The 22,342-nt window shown below is 51.0% G+C and overlaps 1 protein-coding gene, 1 long non-coding RNA gene and 1 pseudogene across 6 annotated transcripts in view, besides 4 other annotated features; 1 reads left to right on the top strand and 2 right to left on the bottom strand.

The window, feature by feature from the left end:
• Nucleotides 192-743: an enhancer, noted in NCBI's record as "NANOG-H3K27ac-H3K4me1 hESC enhancer chr8:144120298-144120849 (GRCh37/hg19 assembly coordinates)". NCBI's record gives its function as "activates a minimal SCP1, AML or CMV promoter by ChIP-STARR-seq in naive H9 embryonic stem cells {active_cell/tissue: H9 hESC(naive)}" and the evidence as "EXISTENCE:reporter gene assay evidence [ECO:0000049][PMID:30033119]".
• On the top strand, nucleotides 520-15,614 carry LY6S-AS1 (LY6S antisense RNA 1). 3 transcript variants are annotated; one of them, NR_126398.1, is made up of 8 exons: nucleotides 520-880; nucleotides 4,269-4,398; nucleotides 4,489-4,573; nucleotides 5,485-5,545; nucleotides 5,960-6,128; nucleotides 8,990-9,125; nucleotides 10,520-10,609; nucleotides 14,537-15,614. It is a non-coding gene; the product is annotated as an LY6S antisense RNA 1 (long non-coding RNA). The 3 variants fall into 3 exon arrangements; NR_149322.1 differs by lacking the exons at nucleotides 5,485-5,545; nucleotides 8,990-9,125 and having other exon boundaries at nucleotides 4,474-4,573; NR_126399.1 differs by lacking the exons at nucleotides 4,269-4,398; nucleotides 5,485-5,545.
• LY6S (lymphocyte antigen 6 family member S) overlaps nucleotides 2,150-22,342 on the bottom strand; it is a 35,633-nt gene continuing 15,440 nt past the window's right edge. Inside the window, exons 1-4 of one of the 3 annotated variants that reach the window (NM_001406478.1) lie at nucleotides 6,884-7,021; nucleotides 6,592-6,670; nucleotides 5,995-6,111; nucleotides 2,150-4,649 (exon numbers count right to left, since the gene is read on the bottom strand). In NM_001406478.1, coding sequence (NP_001393407.1) covers nucleotides 4,432-4,649; nucleotides 5,995-6,111; nucleotides 6,592-6,661 — 405 coding nt within the window. In that variant the 5' untranslated portion in view covers nucleotides 6,662-6,670; nucleotides 6,884-7,021 and the 3' untranslated portion in view covers nucleotides 2,150-4,431. Of the gene's footprint in view, nucleotides 4,650-5,994; nucleotides 6,112-6,591; nucleotides 6,744-6,883; nucleotides 7,022-22,342 lie in introns of those variants that run through there. The other 2 variants (NM_001406477.1, XR_008485573.1) reach the window with 2 other exon arrangements.
• Nucleotides 2,765-3,340: an enhancer, noted in NCBI's record as "H3K4me1 hESC enhancer chr8:144122871-144123446 (GRCh37/hg19 assembly coordinates)". NCBI's record gives its function as "activates a minimal SCP1, AML or CMV promoter by ChIP-STARR-seq in naive H9 embryonic stem cells {active_cell/tissue: H9 hESC(naive)}" and the evidence as "EXISTENCE:reporter gene assay evidence [ECO:0000049][PMID:30033119]".
• Nucleotides 3,917-4,492: an enhancer, noted in NCBI's record as "H3K4me1 hESC enhancer chr8:144124023-144124598 (GRCh37/hg19 assembly coordinates)". NCBI's record gives its function as "activates a minimal SCP1, AML or CMV promoter by ChIP-STARR-seq in primed H9 embryonic stem cells {active_cell/tissue: H9 hESC(primed)}" and the evidence as "EXISTENCE:reporter gene assay evidence [ECO:0000049][PMID:30033119]".
• Nucleotides 6,495-7,107: an enhancer, noted in NCBI's record as "H3K27ac-H3K4me1 hESC enhancer chr8:144126601-144127213 (GRCh37/hg19 assembly coordinates)". NCBI's record gives its function as "activates a minimal SCP1, AML or CMV promoter by ChIP-STARR-seq in primed H9 embryonic stem cells {active_cell/tissue: H9 hESC(primed)}" and the evidence as "EXISTENCE:reporter gene assay evidence [ECO:0000049][PMID:30033119]".
• Nucleotides 18,569-19,158, bottom strand: AK3P2 (AK3 pseudogene 2; annotated as a pseudogene).

The following is a 22,342-nucleotide window of genomic DNA, read 5'->3' on the forward strand; positions in this document are numbered from 1 at the left end:
GCTGCGTGTCCCTGACTCCTCTCAAAGGGTGAAAAGCTCAGTCGCACCCGAGACCTGCTCCTCAGGCAGAGGATGAACTGAGTCCCCGCCCCACCGCCCGTCTGGCCTCTGTGAGAGTGGCGTGCAGGCTGACCCTGGAAGCAGAGGGACATTCGAACGGGCCGGCGGCCTTCTCCCCGCTAGGCTGGGCTCCGGGGTGGGCGGAGAGTGGCCGCCACAGGCCATCAGCGTCCGGGGTTCTGGAAGCAGGGAGGGCAGAGGCTGGCCCAGCCTATGGGAGACCCTGCAGAGGCGTGGCCTCCAGGCTAATCCTACCCCAGCTGCCCCAGGGCGGGATTTCTTTTCTTTTTTCCTTTAATCTCTTTATCTACAGGCGCCGAGGCTTAATGAGCTCCAGATGTCTCAACATACCAGGAGAGGTTTAGGATCCCCTGCCAAATACAAGGGAGATAAGAACGCACCAGACTTGCACAAACCAGAGCTGGTGACCCCCAGTTCCCTTTAAATCAGCGACATGTCATTACAAGGCGGAAGTCCTGCCCGAGAGGACAGTCCCCAGGCCTTGCTAAGCATGCGTGGTATCAAGAGGTGCATTGAGGCGCTCCTGCAGCCTCCTCCCGGCACGGGACTCCTCACAACCCCCAGCCTCAGCTTCCCTGACAGGGCAGGGGCTCACTCTTCTCCACTCCGGGCCAGGAACGCAGCCTGCTTGCCTTTTGTCCAATTGGGTGCTCTTTCTTTGCGACTGATACAAAGTGGGAACAAACTCCGCTTCCGGTGATGCCCGGGCCCCAGGAGGCTGGGGGAGAAGTGCACGCTGCCCAGCCTTCAACCTGAACTGCCCCCAGCACTTCCGAGCCCCGACCCCTGCAGCTGTGAGGTGAGGTGGGGAGGGGGCGGCCTGCGGGGAGGGGGCTGCCTGCGGGGAGGGGGCTGCCTGCAGGGCGGGCCGTGTGGGTCCCCCGAGCGTGGGGGACCAGTGACGTCAGGCAACATTTCTCCAAAGGCTCCCTCACCTTGTCCTTTGGCATCTGGGGTGCTCAGAGGAAGGGGGAAGCCGGGAGGGTGTGGAGAGGGTCACTGGAGAGGGGAAAGGCCAGAGTGATCCCCTTGGGGACGAGGCAGAGGAAAAGCTGTGGAGACCTAAAGAGAAGAGGTGGGGTGCGCCTGGGCCTCTCAAGTTTGTTTCCCAGAACCAGGGAAGGTTACAGTGGAAGGGAGGACCCTGTGGGGAAGAAGCTTCCAGAGACCTTCTGGAGAGGTGAGCCAAAGGCGAGCCATGGCCAGAAACCCCAGGCCTGCTGCAGTGGAGAGTCAGTGCTGCAGGAGGCTTGGGAATCAGGGCTGCCCTCCTTGGGCTGAACCCTCTATCTAGGGGACAATGGCCCTGGGCAAAAGCACTGCTTTCTGGGCCCCCTGGAGGGTAGGGCATGACACTGTGGTGCTAGAGGCAGGGGGGACATGAGGAGGTAGACGAATGTCCTGAGTCACCAGGTACAACCACTGCACCCCATTGTGACTGCCCCTGTGTCCGACACAGATTTGGGGGGTCTGGAATGTCCCTTGAGCTCCTTAGGCACTCATGAATTTCTAGTTGAGCAAATAAAATGTCCAAGATGCCCAGTTTGATCTGAATCTCAGATAAACAACAAATAGTCATTTTTACCAATGTTTGGGACATACTTATGCTAAAAATTGTTTATCTGAAATTCATATTTAATTGGGCATCTTACCCCATTGACCCTAATTAGCAAATCACATCCAGGAGTACAGGGCATGGCTGGGTGGTGGCTGTCACACTGTGCAGTCAGAGGGACCAGGACGTCTTGGATGCAGGCGTCTGGCCAGCGTGGAAGGCCAGGACCTGGTCACGAGATGTGGCTCCCGGCATGGCAGGTCAAAGACTGCTGGTCGTCTGAGCCCAGCCCTGACTCCAGGCTGAGATGGCCATTCACCCAGACCTTGAGCCCTGCCCTGACTCCAGGCTGAGACGGCCGTCCACCCAGACCATTCTGAGCCCTGCCCTGACCCCAGGCTGAGATGGTCATCTATCGGGGGAAATTCACCCCCGATATTTCATGTAGGTTCTTTTCTATTTTCCCTAAGTGTCGGCCAGTCTGAGAAATAAAGGGACAGAGTACAAAAGAGAGAAATTTCAAAGCTGGGCGTCCGGGGGAGACATCACATGTCGGCAGGTTCCGTGATGCCCCCTGAGCCGTAAAACCAGCAAATTTTTATTAGTGATTTTCAGAAGGGGAGGGAGTGTACAAATAGGATGTGGGTCACAGAGATCACATGCTTCACAAGGTAATAAGATATCACAAGGCAAACGGAGGCAGGGCGAGATCACAGGACCACGGGACCGGGGCGAAATTAAAATTGCTAATGAAGTTTTGGGCACACATTGTCATTGATAACATCTTATCAGGAGACAGGGTTTGAGAGCAGACAACCAGTCTGACCAAAATTTATTAGGCGGGAATTTCCTCATCCTAATAAGCCTGGGAGCACTGCGGGAGACTGGGGCTTATTTCATCCCTTATCTACAACTGTAAAAGGCAGCCGTCCCCAAAGCAGACATTTCAGAGGCCTCCCCTTAGGGATACATTCTCTTTCTCAGGGATGTTCCTTGCTGAGAAAAAGAATTCAGCGATATTTCTCCTATTTGCTTTTGAAAGAAGAGAAATATGGCTCTGTTTCACCTGGCTCACAGGCAACCAGAGTTTAAGGTGATCTCTCTTGTTCCCTGAACGTTGCTGTTACCCTGTTCTTTTTTCAAGGTACCCAGATTTCATATTGTTCAAACACACATGCTCTGCAAACAATTTGTGCAGTTAACACAATCATCACAGGGTCCTGAGGCAATATACATCCTCCTCAGCTTACGAAGATGATGGGATTAAAAGATTAAAGACAGGCATAGGAAATCACAAGGGTATTGATTGGGGAAGTGATAAGTGTCCATGAAATCTTCACAATTTATGTTCAGAGATTGCAGTAAAGACAGGCATAAGAAATTATAAAAGTATTAATTTGGGGAACTAATAAATGTCCATGAAATCTTCACAATTTATGTTCTTCTTCCATGGCTTCAGCCGGTCCCTCTGTTTGGGGTCCCTGACAATAGCCGTCCACCCAGACTGTTCTGAGCCCAGCCCTGACTCCAGGCTGAGACGGCCGTCCACCCAGGGCGTTCTCAGCCCAGCCCTGACTCCAGGCTGAGACGGCCGTCCACCCAGGGCGTTCTCAGCCCAGCCCTGACTCCAGGCTGAGACGGCCGTCCACCCAGGGCGTTCTCAGCCCAGCCCTGACTCCAGGCTGAGACGGCCGTCCACCCAGGGCGTTCTCAGCCCAGCCCTGACTCCAGGCTGAGACGGCCGTCCACCCAGGGCGTTCTCAGCCCAGCCCTGACTCCAGGCTGAGACGACCGTCCACCCAGGGCGTTCTCAGCCCAGCCCTGACTCCAGGCTGAGATGACCGTCCACCCAGACCATTCTGAGCCCAGCCCTGACTTTCTGTCCAGAGTGCAGTCCTGAAGGAGCCCCTTTCTCCCACCACCAGGGGAGACCAGTCTAACCCCTGACACGGGGCATCATGGGAGCCCTAGCCAGGGCACAGAAATGACAGGCCTGGCCCACACCACAGGATGGCTGGTGGCCGCAGGAGCTCTGCCTCTTGGTGACCATCCAGAGGCTCTCTGACAACCCTACTCAGATGTTCCCTGGAGCCACATGGCAAGAGTTCTGCCAGAAGAGCCATGAGCCTGGCACTCTGTGGGTTCTGGTCCCTGGGGGGGCACCCGTGCCCCAGGAGCACCTCCCCAAGGCCATGGTGCCAGCAGGATGTTGCAGAGGCCTGAGGTCAGAGTGGCAGGTGGGCGGCCTCAGGAATGGTGAGGAAGAAGCCGAGTGCTGACGCTGAGTGGGTCAGCAAAGGGCTGTTTGTTGACCTTGAGAGGGAGGCCCTCATCCTGTGTGGGAGGCCAGCAGGGCCCCCTGGGACCACGTTCCCTCCTTGCTTGGATTCAGGTAGCCCAGAGAGCTGAGGGGTTGGCCCTGGCTCCTCGGCAAGTTAGTGGCAAGCTGGATGGAGCTGGGGACTCCCGCCCTGGGCCACGGTTTCTCTATGACCCTAGGTCCCAAGCAGCCAGTGGTGGGGCCTGGTCTCTGAGGCCCAGCTCTGAAAAAAGTGGTGTTGTTGGGGGGCATGGGCTGGAGGGCCTGGGCCCAGAGGACAAGGAGTTTAAGCAGGGATATGTTCCCTGACAGGGAAGCCCCGACCTCTGCCCTGGCCACATCCTTCCCCTGATCTCATGGCTGAAAAGCCACACCAGAATTCCTGCAATTCAGTGAGGCAGCTCTTCAAAACCAAGCAGCTGGTGACGCACAGGGACAGAGGGTAGGCCTGCGGGGGAGAGGGCGGGAAAGGCCCTCACAGCAGGGCCCAGAGGAAGACTGACCCCAGGCTGAGCAGGAGCTGTACGCACAGGGCCCAGGGGCTGCTGGCTGCCAGGACCACCGCATTGCAGAGGTCTCCCTTGCAGCAAGAGATCTGGGAGTCCACAACGGCACTTGTAAGTTTCAGCAGGGGGAATCCGACGTCCTTCTGGCAGGAGAGGAGGGAGAGCTTGTTCTCCCCTCTCACTTTACCTGCGAGAGAGCGGGGTGGGGGATGAGCAGGGCCCTGCCCCGGGGCCTCAGGGGCTTTCTGCAGGGAGGCTCCGCACCCCAACATCTGCTGGCTGGGAGCCTGAACATCAAAGCCATCAGGACCAAGGCCATCGGAGCCCTTTCACTTAGGGGACGCTGAGGCCACCCAGGGAACCAGGGTTGTGGCAGAAAGGGCAGCAGGGTTTGAGTTCTTTCCCCAGGCAGCCCTCACCCTGCCCCGGCCTTGGGACCCCCGAAGCGGGAGCTGGGTGGGCTGTGGAGGGGAGCTGGGTGCTGCTTTTGGGAAACAGCTGCGGGCTCCAGGCTGGCTTTTTTTTTTTTAAATATCTTTTTGAGATGGAGTTTTGCTCTTGTGGCCCAGGCTGGAGTGCAATGGGGCGATCTCTGCTCACCACAACCTCCACCTCCTGGGTTCAAGCGATTCTCCTGCCTCAGCCTCCCCAGTAGCTGGGATTACAGGCATGCCCCACCAGGCCCGGCTAATTTTGTATTTTTAATAGATACAGGGTTTCTCCATGTTGGTCAGGCTGGTCTCCAACTCCCGACCTCAGGTGATCCCCCCGCCTTGGCCTCCCAAAGTGCTGGGACTACAGTCATGAGCCACCGTGCCCGGCCAGGGCAGGCCTTTTCCTGCCTCACCTCACTGAAGGGTGTGGCCTGGGGACAGATGCAGCTCCGAGAGCTGAGGGTGCTGAGGGTGCTGAGGGTGCTGAGGGCCTGGGCAGGCTGCAGCCCCTCCCCAGTCCTCCCATGGCCTGGCTGATATCCCACCATTCCAGAGTCATTCCTTTAGCTTGAAGCTAACTGTCTCCAGGTTCTTCCAGGCAGGTAACTCACTGAATGCTCACAGCCTGCGCCTCTCCTGCATGGAGCTGGTGAGACCCGCGGCATGAAGTGGGGACAAGGGGCAGAGGTCACTGGGGTCCCCAGAGTAGCTACAGCAGCTGGCGTTGGGAGGCTACTGGGAAGTTGGTGTGGGCCCTGCTGCTGGGCACTGGGAGGGGCTGGGATGGTTTCCACAGTAATGAGGGCCCTGTGGGCGCCCCCTGCTCTAGAACCCGGAACATCCCCTGTCCCTGCAGACCCACAACCCTTAGGCTCAGTTTGGTGGCCCAGGCTCCTCAGCCCTGCCGCTCTTCCACCCTTCCCTGCACAGGTCCTGCCCGCCATGCCCACCCCACCCCACCCCCCACCTCAGGAGCCACAGACCGGCCCCCAAAGTGCTGAGGGCTTGTAGGGGGACCTTGGTCCATCATGCAGCTATCTAAGAAGTGCCCCTCCCTCCCCAGAACCTGCCCTCTGCCCTGGCACCCCAGGGACTCACTGCCAAAGACGCTCACTTTCTGGGAGACACAGACCCCATCCAGGAAGGGGCACGAGACCACGCTGCAGGAGGCCCCTTCCAAGACCGCCAAGCATCTGTAGCAGCGCAGACCCTGAGCTGGGAGAGAGGGCAAGGTGGGTGACTGCAGCACATGCCAGGACATACACCAATGCCCTGGTGAGAGTCCCATGCCCACAAGGGCACCCACTCTCACCACCACCCTTGTCCCAACCTGCCACCTGGACCTTTGCAATAGCCCCACACACCTGCCTGCAACTGGCAGCCTGCAACTGGTGGCCTGCAACCCTCCAACACCACCTCTTTGTCCAGAGGCACCAGCAGCCACTGCCCAATGCCAAAGGCATACACGTGCCCAGGACTCAGTGAGTCCTCGGAAGTGAGCACAGCCAGCACGCGCGGTAACAAGCACAGAGCAGGCACCAAACACACCAGTCACCTCTGCCACCGGAACACCGAAGCCCGCCACCCCCAGCAGGCACGCCTTCCGAGCACACCCACCTGCAACTAGTTCCAGCACACACGGGGCAGCAGGAGTGCGCTGGAACAAAGTCCTCTAAAGGCCCCTCTGCTTCTCACCTCTCTCCATGCTCAGCAGGGCCACCAGCAGGACCAGGGACAAGGTCTTCATGGCCTGGAGACTGCTCATTCCAGGGTGCTAGTGCACAGACAAACTTCAGCGAATCAGAGCAGCCCTCGGACTCCTCACCCTCCTGGGGATCGAATGAGTCCTGCACAGCAGCAAAGCCAGAACATCCGGCTCTCCATCTCCCACCCTGTCCTCAGCACAGTCACCCAAAGGAGAACTGTCTGCCTCACGCCCCCACCCCAGTCCCCATTCCTCCCTCCCATCCTTCCCTGCAATTCTCACCCAGAGCCCCATGGCTGTACTGCACCTCCTCTCCTTAGCGCCCCCACCCAGGACCCTCCCAGGCCTGGTCCACCCCTCCTCACTTTCCTCCCTCTGGCTGATTCTCAGCCACTTGCCCTGCAGGCTTGCCAGAGAGAGGAAGGTGGGGCAGGGAGAGGCCCTGCCCTCAGCGGCTCCTCCCCTCAGGCTCTTCCTGACTGGCCCAGAACAAGGGTGGGTTCCTGAATTTCCATTTCACAGGAACTTGCTACTGGAGCAATAGGTGACTCCAGGCCAATTTACTCATTTTTTTTTTTCTTTTGAGCTGGAGTCTCACTGTTACCCAAGCTGGAGTACAGTGGCACAGTCTTGGCTCACTGCAACCTCTGCTTCCCAGGTTCAAGCAATTCTCCTGCCTCAGCCTCCCGAGTAGCTGTGACTACAGGTGCCCACCACCACACCCAGTTAATTTTTGTATATTAGTAGAGATGGGGTTTCACCATGTTGGCCAGGCTGGTCTCGAACTCCTGACCTCAAGTGATCCTCTCACCTTGGCCTCCCAAAGTGCTACGATTACAAGTGTCAGCTACCACGCCCAGCCCAATTTACTCTTTATACTAGAATTGGCAGCAGGTGGGCCTGGTGGCTCACATCTGTAATCTCATCACTTTGGGAGGCCAAGGCAGGAAGATAGCTTGAGGCCAGGAGTGAAACCACTTTTGCAAGATTATAACAATGAGAGGAGGCCAGGCACGGTGGCTCACGCCTGTGATCCCAGCACTTTGGGAGGCTGAAGTGGGCGGATCACAAGGTCAGGAGATCGAGACCATCCTGCCTAACATAGTGAAACCCCATCTTTACTAAAACTACAAAAAAATTAGCAGGGCGTGGTGGCAGGTGCCTGTAGTCCCAGCTACTTGGGAGGCTAAGGCAGGAGAATGGCATGAACCCGGGAGGCAGAGCTTGCAGTGAGATGAGATTGCGCCACTACACTCCAGCTTGGGTGACAGAGTGAGACTCCAGCTCAAAAAAAAAAAAAAAAAATGAGAGGAATCTAACATAACTGACTCCATCTTGCTTTCTAATCTCACAAGCTAACTTGCCTTTGCTCAGGTGGCATAGGCCAAGCTAACTATGGGAGGAATTTAGTTCATAGTTTAGAGTAAGGATGGGCCAGGCATGGTGGCTTACACCTCTAATACCTTTGGGAGACCGAGGCAGGTGAATCACCTGAGGTCAGGAGTTCGAGATCGGCCTGGTCAACATGACGAAACCCTGTCTCTACTGAAAAAAAATAAAAATTAGCTGGCGTGGTGGCGGGCACCTGTAATCCCAGCTACTCAGGAGGCTGAGGCAGGAGAATCACTTTAACCCGAGATGTGGAGGTTGCAGTGAGCCGTTATTGTGCCATTGTACTCCAGCCTGGGTGACAAGAGCGAAACTCCATCTCAAAACAAAAATAAATGAATACAAATAAAAAATAAAGTAAGGATGATAATAGTGTCTTCCCAAAACTACTCCACTCCTTGAGACCAAAGCCGCCTTTGTAAAACTAACGAAAGACCACAAGGTTAGCATTATGGTAGGGGCTTGATTTTTTTTTTTTAAGATGGAGTCTTGCTCTGTTACCCAGGCTGGAGTGCAATGGTGCCATCTCAGCTCACTGCAACCTCTGCCTCCCGGGTTCAAGTGATTCTCCTGCCTCAGCCTCCGGAGTAGCTGGGATTACAGGCGCCTGCCACCACGCCCGGCTTTTTTTTTTCTTTTGTATTTTTAGTAGAGACGGGGTTTTACCATGTTGGCCAGTCTCAAACTCCTGAGCTCAGGTGATCTGCCTGCCTCGGCCTCCCAAAGTGCTGGGATTACAGGCATGAGAGGCACGGCGCCTGGCCCAGGGGCTTGACTTCTGCTCATGAGCCAGGATAGGTAGTCAAGGAAGTGACCATATCCTTGGGATGCAGCCACCGTGGCCACTGTACAGTCAACACAGTAAGCCTTTGCATTTGCGCTGTGGTCCAGCTCATCCAAGCAAAGCTAGCTCCAGGAGAGAAATCCCCCCTCCCAACTACAGAGCAGGCATATTTGATTTTCCCTGTCCTCAGACTGACCCTTTGCTCATTATAATAGAAAACACACCCCTGGTGGAGATTTAAGATGCTAATGACACATGCGACGTATGAGCAAGCAGGTGCAGCTACTGCACGTGTGCACCCAGAGGACCCCCCCAGAACATGCTTCCTAGCAACACCTCTGCCCACCCGCTGTGAGTAATCATGGAAGACTCCCATGGAGGAGCCTCCCTGGTGCCAGTCTCTGCTGTCTCGCCCTTACAAGCAGCCGGCCCTGAATCCTCTCTCTCAGGGCGTCCTATCTCTTCTGCATCAAACTTTCAAAATGTTCTTTCTCCTTTGCAATACATTGCTCTGTGCTGCATCTCCTTGGCTGTGTGTCTCTTGTTTAAATTCTTTTAAACTAAGAAGACAAGAATGGAGGCCTCACAGCAGCCGCCAACGTTTCTGGTGCTGTGACTCGGATGGAGGTTCGTCTGCGTCATTCACTCCAGTTTCCCTTCCCCGCAGCGGGTACCGTGGCAGTGCCAGGCTGCCTGGTTGGCTGCCGCTGGTTTGCCCAGGGCTGTTTCAGTCAAGCTCCGGGGAAGGTTTCTAAGTTGCCTGGACCGTTTCTGTGGATATATGTGCTGCTCTCCTCTGGCTGCTGCCTCTGCACCACTCATCATTATCCAACCACATCGGTTGCTCTCAACATTCAGTATTTGGGCTGTTTCGCTGCTTGGTTTCACGCCTTTCTGGCCTCGTTTCAGACACAGCCCGTTTGCTGTCCCTCTGGTAGCACTCGGCCGCCACCTCGTGGCCATTGTGATTTATTGTCTGATCGGGTTTTCTGTTTTACAAAATTTTCTTTTTTTTTTTTTTTTTTTTGAGACAGAGTCTCTTTTGCCCAGGCTGGAGTGCCATGACACCACCTCAGCTCACTGCAACCTCCACCTCCTGGTTCAAGCGATTCTCCCGCCTCAGCCTCCTGGGTTGCTGGGACTACAGGGGTCTGCCACCACGCCCGGCTAATTTTTTGTACTTTTAGTAGAGATGGGGGTTTCACCATGTTGGCCAGGCTGGTCTCGAACTGCTGACCTCAAGTGATCCATCCACCTTGGCCTCCCTAAGTGTTGGGATTACAGGTGTGAGCCACCGTGCCTGGCCGAAATCTGTTTTGAGGGACACATTAAGAGTGCGCTGTCCCTCCAGACCTTATGCATTTTCCACCTCCTTCAGATGGTCCTTCAACTGGCGTTCTTTGCTGAACAAAAGATGCTCAGTCATGTATCTGCCAGGCTGTGGGGACTGCATCGGGTATTCCAGGCACTGTAATCGGGCATCACCAATGGCCAACCAGTGAGGCAGGGAAAGGCTCGCTGATGAGACGTTGGGCCCCCCAGCCAGCAGCGGGGGCCACCTCAGTCGGGCCTGGAGACTTCCAGCGCCCGTGAGACCCAGGACGGTGTATGCCAAATGCCCGTGACCTCCTAGCGCCCTGATTTCATGGGGGTTCAAGGGGATGTCCCACACCCTGTCATGGTCCAGCTTGGCTCGGGGACACCTGTGACCTCCTGGACTTTGGTATCTGTTTTTGTCATTGCAGGATTCTCTCGGCACCACGGGAACCACCTTCTCTACTCTCACTGAACACCCCTGGGATGTATCTGTAAAAATTGGAACACCTTTCGGCTAGGTGAGCTAAAACGGAAAAGACATCTTTTGTTACACTGTTTGTCCTGGGTACAAGTTAGCTGACAATGAAAAGTGGTCAGAGAGTGGAACTGTGAGCTTCATCGCCATCCCGCAGCTCCGTCTTTCCAGAGGAATCAGGGACAATGGTCAGAAGTACCCATGAGTAGGTATTTATGGCCTTACAACGGAACCCGGCTTTATGCAGCACCTGCAGGCTAAAATCCAGTAAGCCAGAAAGCCCCCCAGACCCATGCGAAGACCCTCTTTTATTAAAGGGAAGGGACTCCAGGCCCCATGGCCCAACTCCAAGTCCAGATAGGGGTTCTCAGGGCTCCACACCTCCTTCCGACTCCCCAGCATCCCCCGCACTATCAGAGTCTCCTGTGGAATCTAATCCCATTTCACCCCCTCCTTATGCTCCTCCTCCTTTGCAGGTACAATAGGGACTTGCCCAGCTGGAGCTGCTCGCACTGGGACTTCACACCATCCAGGGCCAGAGAAACTGCTCCCCTTATGGGAGGTCCCAAATGGAGAGGGGACCATTATGACACATGTCCCATAAATGATCTAATTTATAGACTCACATCTATAAATAATCTAATCCAATGGAAGCAAAAAAAACAAAAACTCATCTTCTGTAGCAGAGAAATGGAGAGTAGCCCTAGGAGTCCTCCCGAAACTGGGAGAAACACCCTGTCTGGTTGTGGGAGAAACACCTCGTCCAGTTGTGGGAGAAACGCCTGGTCCGGTTGTGGGAGAAACGTCTCATCTGGTTGGCTCCTTTCCAAAGCAGCTGGACTCTGCGCCCTGCAGGTGGCCTGGCTGCCTTAGGGCAGTTGCAGCCATCGCCATTCTAGTAGAAGAAGCCCAAAACCTGACTTTTTTTTTTTTTTTTTTTTTTTGAGACGGAGTCTTGCTCTGTCACCAAGCTGGAGTGCAGTGGTGTGATCTCGACTCACTGCAACCTTTGCCTCCCGGGTTAAAGCGATTCTCCTGCCTCAGCCTCCCGAGTAGCTGGAATTACAGGCATGCACCATCACGTCTGGCTAATTTTTGTATTTTTAGTAGACGCGGGGTTTCACCATGCTGGCCAAGGTGGTCACAAACTCCTGACCTAAAGTGACCCACCCGTCTCAGCCTCCTAAAGTGCTGGGATTACAGGAGTGAGCCAGCTTGCCCGGCCCCAAAACCTGACTTTCAGACACACCTTCGAGGTCCTCACTCCCCACCAGGTGCAGGGAGTTTTAGAAATAAAGGGCCATGTTGGCTCTTGGGAGGAAGACTTGCCGTGATCAGGCGCCCTCCTGGACTCCCTCAAGGTTACTATAAAAACCTGTGGTACCCTTAATCCAGCTTCTCTCATGCCAGCCTGTTCCTGGGAGAACCTAACTCGTTCCAGGGTTGCAACATGGGCCAGGCCTTCCACAGTAGAATAGACCTCAGGGGTGCACCCTCTAGAATCCTGGTGCTGAATGGCTCACGGATGGAAGTAGTTGCATGGAAAATAAAAAAAGAGGGGCAGGACATGCTGTGGTTAGTCTACACCAAACAACAGATGCCCACACTGCCACCTAATACCTCGGCGCAAAAAGCAGAGTGAGTCCCCTGACCAGGGCCCGGCTCGGGGTCGGGGAAAGGCGCTTCACGGGTGTGCGGACTCCAAGGGCGCCTCCCTTGTCCCTCGTGCACACACAACATTTGGAAAGAACAGGTCTTCTAAATGCAAGGAAATCCCCCATTACATATGCAAAAGAAATACTGCGGCTTTTAGAGGCTGTGCAGGAGCCTGAGCGAGTGGCAGCCCTTCACTGCCTGGGACATCAAAGAGGAAACTCCTCAGTGACATTGGGAAATGCAAGGGCTGACAGGAAAGCTAAGAGGGAACTCCGGGAGCAGTGGCCCAGCTAGCCTTGTTCCCCTGTGCCCATTCTCTTGACGTAAATCCATCTTAACTACAAAAGAACTAGCAGCTCAGCGTGGTGGCTGTAATCCCAGCACTTTAGGAGGCCAAGGCGAGCGGATCATCTGAGGTCAGGAGTTCGAGACCAGCCTAGCCAACATGGTGAAACCCCGTCTCTACTAAAAATACAAAAATTAGCTGGCCGTGATGGCATGCACCCGTAATCCCAGCTACTCGGGAGGCTGAGGCAGGAGAGTCACTTGAACTGGGGAGGCAGAGGTTGCAGCGACCCAAGATCGCACCATTGCACTCCAGCCTGGGTGACAGAGCAAGACTCTGACTCAAAACTAATAATAATTAAAACATCAAAACAAGCATAAGCTAAAGAAAGTCAGGGGACTCTAACACCTGAAGGTTAGTGGCTCATAGGTCAAAAGCTCTTGCTTCCTCAGCCAGACCAGTAGAAAATGGTTAAAAGTTTACATGATTCCCAGCTGGGCACAGTGGCTCACACCTGTAATCCCAGCACTTTGGGAGGCCGAAGCACGTGGATCACTTGAGGTCAGGAGTTCTAGACCACCCTGGCCTACATGGAGAAACCCCGTCTCTACTAAAAATACAAAAATTAGCCGGGCATGGTGGCACCCACCTGTAATTCCAGCTACTCGGGAGGCTGAGGCAGGAGAATCACTTGAACCCGGGAGGCAGAGGTTGCAGTGAGCCGAGATCGTGCCACTGCACTCCAGCCTGGGTGACAGAGTGAGACTCTGTCTCAAAAAAAAAAAAGAAAAGAAAAGAAAAAAGCCGGGCGTGGTGGCCCAAGCCTGTAATCCCAGCACTTTGGGAAGCTGAGGCGGGCAGATCACGAGGTCAGGAGATGGAGACCATCCTGGCTAACACGGTGAAACCCCGTCTCTACTAAAAATACAAAAAATTAGCCAGGCGTGGTGGCGGGCGCCTGTAGTCCCAGCTACTTGGGAGGCTGAGGCAGGAGAATGGCGTGAACCCGGGAGGCAGAGCTTGCAGTGAGCCGAGATCGCACCACTGCACTCCAGCCTGGGGGACACAGCGAGACTCCGTCTCAAAAAAAAAAAATTTACATAATTATCTCCATATGGGGCAGGACACCATGACCACCTGGGTAGACCATCTGTTTATGGGCAAGGGCCTGGCAACCACAATAGAGTCACTCGGGCCTATGAACTTTGCTCCCAAAATAACCGTGGGGGCAAACAAAGACAAAGGCCTCTCACTAACCCCAGTCCAGCAGCGAGGAACCCAGGAACCCCTCCTGCTGAGGACTGGCAGGTTGACCGCACCCACACGCCCTCCTTTCGAGGCTTTAAATACCTTTTGGTTTTGTAGACACCTTTACCGGTTGGGTGGAAGCTCTCCCCCAAGAACAGAGAAAGCTACAGAAGTGGTCAAGGCATGTTTTGGCCTCCCCCGCTCCTTGCAGCTAGAACCCAGCAGGGAGCTCGAGCTTTGGGAATTAAGTATCGTCTCCGCTCCTCGTGGAGGCCGCAATCCTCCGGCAAGATTGAAAGGACCAGTCACACTTTAAAGCAAACCCTGGCAAAATTATGCCAGGAAACTTCTGGGTCTTGGTATACTCTGTCATCTATCGCGTTCATGAGAATACAAACGGTCCCCAAAGCGAAAAGGAAACTTAGTCTTTTTGAAATGACTTATGGGAGACCCTCCCTCACCTTAGACCTGTTAATCAAACCTGAAACTCAGTGTATTGTAAAATATATTCAAAATCTAGGCCAGGTACGGCTGGCTGTCCAGGAATATGGCAACACAGGGCTGCCCTCGCCTGGCAAGTGAAACACAACAGCAAAATGCTGCCTGGAGACTGGGTCCTATTAAACACCTAGAAGGAAGGTTCCCCAGCAGATCAACTTCTTCCTAAATGGAAGGGACCTTACCAAGTGCTACAAACCACCCCCGATGGCTGTAAAGCTACAGGGAGTCACCAGCTGGGCCCACATGACCAGAATTAAACTTTGCAATTAACCTTTACAGAAACCAGAGGAAGCCGCTCATGACACCCGGGAGCTCACAGAGGCTCTGAAGTTTCTATTCAAGAAAACAACTCCAGATGGGGCTGATCTGGAAGACAAGTAACATCTTCCTTTTCTTGGTGCTCGCCTGCCGTGCTCTAGGTGCTTTTAGAGATGCTGGTCTGTGTGCTAGGGAAGCGATGAACCATACTGTTAGTCTATTAAACATAACTCAACCTGGCTGGCTTTCCATGACTACCAAACGCTGGGAATATGCCAGACCTGTGCCCGTGGAAGACTCTGGCCTCCCAGCACACCTCCAGGAACAAACTCCCTGGCCCGCAGGATAGGGATAGCAGCCCCAACCGTCAATACAAAGGGATTTTACTGAGTGGGCTCATGGGTTCTTTAAGTTCCCCCTCTTAACGATCAACGGTAATTCAAACGTCCCAAAAGGAGAAATGCTTTCTTAGCATATCTTTTACCTGGAGTATTTCCCCTTCTGCCTTTACAGCAATCATGCCAGTTCTACCACTTTTGCAAGAAAGCTCCAAGAGAGTCAGTGTAGCTGAAACTTTGTCACTGGGTCACCTATCTAGTCCATATGTCTGCAGGAATTATACTGATAAATGGACAACTCACCATGCAATCAATCTCCCGCTCTATCCTGTTCCCTGACCGGCATGGTTTCTACTTCCTGTCAGCACAACTAGGACGTCTGGTTTCTGCTGGGCTGCCCTCTCATGGGAAGCCTTTAATCACTCTAGCTCAATATATCCTCTGGGGACCATCAACATTTCCTATTAAAGATAACTACACCTGGCCGAGCGCGGTGGCTAACGCCTGTAATCCCAGAACTTTGGGAAGCCAAGGCGGGTGGATCACAAAGTCGGGAGATCAAGACCATCCTGGCTAACACAGTGAAACCCCTCCTCTACTAAAAATACAAAAAATTAGCCAGGCGTGGTGGTGGGTGCCTGTAATCCCAGCTACTTGGGAGGCTGAGGCAAGAGAATGGCGAACCTAGGAGGCAGAGTTTGCAGTGAGCTGAGATGGTGCCACTGCACTCCAGCCTGGGGGACAGAGCTACACTCCATCCCAAAAAAAAAAAAAAAAAAAAAAAGAGAGAGAACTACACTTGTGGTGGGACCCTAAGAGGGGAACCCTATTTAAAGAACTTGTTAACACTACCATCCAACTCTACCATCCCCTGATGGGCCCAGTGACCACTGCCAACATAGCTGCACAAAACCTTTCACTTACAGGCCAGAAAATAGAAAACCGCCTCTTATAGAACCTCCACTGCTTTTACCACTATAATGAAAAATACTTTTGTAGCACAAATTTCACCACCACACGGAGTTGTGGGGGGTTGTGGATCTCCAGTGTATCTACGACTCCCTCCACTCTGGAAGGGACAGCGCTCCATCGCTTACAGCTCCCTCCATCTAACTCCACGCTTACAGCTCCCCCCATCTAACTCCACACTGGCTACTACGTCTCCCCCTTTTCCCACGTACCAACATTGCGCGAGCCGCCTCTGAGCAGGACCCCTTCTTCCCTTGGGTTTAGTATTATCCTCTCTATTGGGATTAGCAGGGACAGCTACGGGAGACAGAGCCTTGGGAATCCAGCATAAACTGTCTTGGGAGACTGAATGGCCCTCCAGCAAACGGCAGAGGGCCTCATGAGTCTTCAACAGCAGCTGGACTCCCTGGCTGCCGTAGTCCTGCAAAACCGAGGGGCCTTAAATCTTCTCATGCTGGACAAGGAGGAACGTATCTATATCTAAAAGGGGAATGCCATGTCTACGTCAATCAGCCCAGTTTGGTCGTAGAACGAATTAAAAACATTGTTACCCAGGCAGACAAAATGGAATCTTTAGGAACTTCCATGGGAACTTGGAAGCAATGGCTGTTGTCTGCCCTACTCCCTTTAATAGTGCTGATTATTACCACACTTTTAGCCTTAACTTTTAGACCAACTTTGTTTTTTTTTTTTGTTGTTGTTGTTGCTTTTCTGTTTTAAGATCATTTATTAGAACACAGTCATTCAGAAGCCATTGAGACATCAGGCAGCAGGAAGGAAGCTGGGGCGGAGCAGGCCCTGGGAAGGACCAAGGACAAAGTAATAGCCACAGTAATGACATTTCATTTTATTCTGATAAAGACTAATGTATGCCTGATAACCTAGTGAGAATCCATAAGTTTGGCAGTTCACAACATTTTTAGAAAGCACATACGATTAACATTCAAATAAGGCATTATAGAAAGTTTTGTAAAGAATGAAGTGTTTACTGTCATTCTTTTAAAAAACCTTGGCTCATCTTGAAAGATCAATGAATTTTTAAAATATCAGAAGAAAAGAAAAATAAAAATTTCCCCCCAAAATACGTAAGAACCACTTACTGGCACTGGTATTTTAAGTACCTGGAAAAAAACGGACCAGATTTTTAAAGGCAATTAATAACAGCTTGTACGAGCGCTTGTTTCATTTGACTTGGCATCAAGTAAAGGAAGAGTAAATACGCCGTGAAAGACGCCATCGGGCTTTTCCTCCACTTCTCCCAGACCACACAGCACATCAGCAGCCACCCTTGCTGCCCACTCAGGAATCACTGTAGATTCCAATTTTTAAATGGCTGCTTAGACGACGCCAATAGAGTTCTTTCTCCTTACAGTAAGGCGGCAGTGAATGCTAACAGGTATCGAGTTCTCTGATCAGGAACAAAGAACTCCTTCAGGAAACTCACTCACTTTCCTGGTCCTTGTTAACCTGTCACATAAATTCTTTTTATTGGCACACCTGTTTACTAATTATGATTGATTGCTATTTATGCCAAGGGAGCATTTCCCAGGCGTGCCTCATCTGTTTACTCATGACACAGTGAGCCTACTTTATTTACACAGTGCCGCGGGTTTCCTCTTTTTTCTTTTCTGTTTTTGGTGGTGGGGGTGGCACTATCACTTGTTATTTATCAGGGTAGATCATACATTTGGATCGAAAAGAGAAACCGGCAACTAGATCCTAAAACACATTTATCAACCTGAGTCACATCGGGAAACATATAGACTTTAATTCCATTTTGTTGAAAATTCATTCAACTTTGGTGCTTGTCCAAGGACTTATGATGTCAATTTCTGACATAAATCATAACCCCGAATATATATGTATTTTCAAAAGAAACAAGTCATCTTAAAGTAATATTTTTCTATATGCTAATTGATACATTTTTATAGCAAATTGAAAATTCTGAGCAAACTGAAAGTATGCTTAACAACAAAATAAATACAGCATATATGGTTAGCACATACATTTCTTACTGTAAAGGCAGAAGTGAATTTGTGTCTTACAATAAATCTGTAAATCCAGTTGTTTTCTTTCTGGAATTTATATAATGTCTCACCATGTTCCACAAAAAGGCTAGAAATGCCTTTTTTTTGGAATGAATCTATGCAAAAATTTCTGATTACATATTTTCCCCAAATGACATGTAACTTTTTTTAACTTTTCCAGAAAAATATGGAAACTTTATCAACCACTTATTAACTGAACAAAAAGTGAGATTACTACAAAATGCTCGTTTAATTTTGCTTTAACAGATGTTTTAAAAGTTCAGGCATCGCTGATATTTTTGAGGATAACTGCATAAAACACACTAGATGATTTCAAAGGATGAATCTTAGTATCTGACTCATCTGGCACATCCTTAGTATCCAGAATAAAATCAGTAGAAATAAAAGTAATATAGTTTTCAAAGAATTCATACATATTGGAAGTCTTAGGAAAAGTGCTTCTAAATGCAGGGACTAGGAGGTTTGCCCATCTTCCTGTTAATAGTTACACACATTTCTCCTCATGGAGTAACTGAAGTTTTCTGGCTTGTTTGTGCAACTTTAGTTGGTAGGAAAGTGTATATATAGGGCCAAATCTTGTTGGTTTCTGTTCCGGAGAATGTTTCCAACACCCCCTTTTTTCTGGTAATATTCCGGGACTGGCTTTGTTTGGCTTTATAAGCCTTTAGTCTCTTTTTTACTATTATTATTATTTTTATTTTTTTTTTTGAGGTGGAGTCTTGCTCTGTCACGCAGGCTGGAGTGCAGTGGTGCCATCTCGGCTCACTGCAATCTCCACCTCCAGGGTTCAAGCAATTCTCCTGCCTCAGCCTCCTGAGTAGCTGAGACTACAGGCGCCTGCCACCATGCCCGGCTACATTTTGTATTTTTAGTAGAAACAGGGTTTCACCATATTGGCCAGGCTGGTTTCGAACTCCTGACCTTGTGATCCGCCCGCCCCGGCCTCCCAAAGTGCTGGGATTACAGGCGTGAGCCACTGCGCCTGGCTGCCTTTAGTCTCTTGATAACCGTCTCTGGTTTATCATCCTCATGCTGAATGAGAGGGTCCCCAGTCAGGTCATCAATGCCCACAGTTTTGGGAGGGTTGAATTCAATGTTGAAGACTCAGCCGCTGGCGGGATGAATCCAGCAAGCAGTAAGGCGTTGTTTAATGACCTCAAAGGGCACATTCAGCTTAATCACTGTGTCGATCTGATCAGCTCTATCTAGGGCTTCTGCCTGTGGATGTGTTCTTGAAAAACCATCAACAGCTAGACTGGGTGAGACTTTTCGGCTCCTGCAGCTGGCCTGACTGGGGGCCTGTGTCGGGTGCCATATGAGAGATTTCAACCAGCCCATGCGCAACCAGAGGGATGCGGCCCACGGTGCGGGTGGTCTCAGCGTCGTCTCTGTCTGACCCTCCCTCCCTCTGCATCTCTCTCAAATCTTGGCAGCCCACAGACTGAGTCAAATTGAGAAGAAAGAAAGTGGAGGCAAGTTCATTAACGTCAGTGCAATTAATTTAACAGTATTCAATTACAAACAAATAGAGCATTTCAGAGAGTGATGAGGGTTCTGAGGATGCACAAACAAGGGGTGTAGGGTCCAGCCCCACAGGGTAGGTGGGTCTCTCCCCGCGTGCGGCGACAAGAGATTGTAGAAATAAAGACACAAGACAAAGAGATAAAAGAAAAGACAGCTGGGCCCAGGGGACCACTACCACCAAGTTGCAGAGACTGGTAGAGGCCCCGAATGTCTGGCTGCACTGATATTTATTGGATACAAAGCAAAAGGGGCAGGATAAGAAGAGTGAGCCATCTCCAATGATAGGTAAGGTCACGTGGGTTGCGTGTCCACTGGACAGGGGGCCCTTCCCTGCCTGGCAGCTGAGGCAGAGAGAGAGAGGAGACAGAGAAAGATAGCTTATGCCATTATTTCTGCATATCAGAGACTTTTAGTACTTTCACTAATTGACTACTGCTATCTAGAAGGCAGAGCCAGGTGTACAGGATGGAACATGAAAGCGGACTAGGAGCGTGACCACTGAAGCACAGCATCACAGGGAGACGGTTAGGCCTCCGGATAACTGCGGGCCGGTCTGACTAATGTCAGGCCCTCCACATGCAGTGGAGGAGTAGAGTCTTCTCTAAACTCCCCTGGGGAAAGGGAGACTTCCTTTCCCGGTCTGCTAAGTAGCGGGTGTTTTTCCTTGACACTTATGCTACCGCTAGACCTCGGTCCGCCTGGCAACCGGCGTCTTCCCAGACGCTGGCATTACTGCTAGACCAAGGAGCCCTCTGGTGGCCCTGTCCGGGCATAACAGAGGGCTCGCACTCTTGTCTTCCGGTCTCACTTCACTATGTCCCCTCAGCTCCTATCTCTGTATGGCCTGGTTTTTCCTAGGCTATGATTATAGAGTGAGGATTATTATAATATTGGAATAAAGAGTAATTGCTACAAACTAATGACTAATGATATTCATATATAATCATATCTAAGATCTATATCTGGTATAACTATTCTTGTTTTATATTTTATTATACTGGAACGGCTCATGTCCTCTGTCTCTTGCCTCGGCGCCTGGGTGGCTTGCCGCCCACATGCCTCAGCCTCCCAGAGTGCAGGGATTACAGTCATGAGCCACCGTATGCGGCCACATCTTGTTATGAAAAGAAATTCTCAATGTTAATGAGGTCAAATTCATGTATATTTACTCTGATAGTGCTTTTGTGGAGTAGACAAAGATTACTTAAAATATTCCCATGTGTTGACTTCTAAATGTTTTATGGTTTTAAGTCCTACATTCAGGGCTAGGATGGTTTTGGGTAGGCTGTGAGGTTTGGGGTCATGATTTACTGACGGTTTTTTTTTTAGACAAATATTCCATTGATCCAGCACCATTCTTCAAGCTAACTTATAACGATCCCAAATGGGAGTATGGAACTCTAAGAAGGCAAGAGAAGCAGAATAATAACTATTTGGATAAATATAAAATATCAATGGTGTAAAATAAGAATAACGTCTTGTAGGTTTATAATATATATGCAAGTAAATATATATGGGACTATAGGCACGCACGACCACACTCAGCTAATTTTTAAAATTTTTTTGTAGAAATGGAATCATGATATGTTGCCTGGCTGGTCTTGAACTCCTGAGCTCAAGTGATCCTCCCACCTCAGCCTCTCAAAGTACTGGGATTACAGTCATGAGCCACTGTGTCTGGCACAAGCAAATATTAAAACAATGAAAGTACAATGGAATAGAGGTAGGTAAATGAAGTTATGCTGTGTAATGTTCTGAATTGTTCATGAGTGTGGGCGGCAAGCCACCCAGGTGCCGAGGCAAGAGACCAAGGGCACAAGCTGTTCCAGTATAATAAAGAAAATATATAGAATAAGAATAGTTATACTAGAAATAAATTATAGATATGATTATATATGAATATTATCAATCATTAGTTTGTAGCATTACTCTTTTTTCAATATTATAATAATCTTTGTTCTACAATTATAACCTAGGAAAAACCAGGCCATACAGAGATAGGAGCTGAAGGGACATGGTGAGAAGTGACCAGAAGACAAGAGTGCGAGCCTTCTGTCATGCCCGGACAGGGCCACTACAGGGCTCCTTGGTCTAGCGGTAGTGCCAGTGCCTGGAAGGCACCTGTTACTTAGCAGACCAGGAAAGGGAGTCTCCCTTTCCCTGAGGAAGTTAGAGAAGACTCTGCTCCAGCACCTCTTGTGGAGGGCCTGACATCAGTCAAGCCCGCCCGCAGTTATCTGGAGGCCTAAACGTCTCCCTGTGATGCTGTGCTTCAGTGGTCACGCTCCTGATCCACTTTCATGTTCCGCCCTGTACACCTGGCTCCGCCTTCTAGATAGCAGTAGCAGAATTAGTGAAAGTATTAACGTCTTTGATCTCTCCAGAACTACATAGAAGAAATAATGACGTAAGCTGTCCCCTCTCTCTCTCCGCCTCGGCTACCAAATAGGGAAGGGCCCCCTGTCTGGTGGACACATGACTTGTGTGACCTTACCTATCATTGGAGATGACTCACACTCCTTACCCTGCCCTCTTGCCTTATATACAATAAATAACGGCACGGCCAGGCATTCAGGGTCACTACCGGTCTCCACGCCTTGGTGGTAGTGGTCCCCAGGGCCCAGCTGTCTTTTCTTCTATCTCTTTGTCTTGTGTCTTTATTTCTACGATCTCTCATCTCCACACACGAGGAGAAAAACCCACAGGTCCTGTAGGGCTGGACCCTATAATGAGACAGTAACCAACTTAAGATGGACTATAGTAAGTCAAAGATGCATATTGTAATGTCTAAAATAACCACTGATGAATCACGTAAAATATATCTAAGAATATAACAAAAGAAAATACGAGAAATATTTAACAAATCCAAAAGAATACCGTAAAGGAAAAGAAAGATAGGAAAAATAAAAGCAAACAGTGAAATGGAAGGTTTTAACCCAATTATATTA

This window comes from Homo sapiens, chromosome 8, assembly GCF_000001405.40.
Source record: "Homo sapiens chromosome 8, GRCh38.p14 Primary Assembly".
NCBI classification, from domain to species: Eukaryota; Metazoa; Chordata; class Mammalia; order Primates; family Hominidae; genus Homo; species Homo sapiens.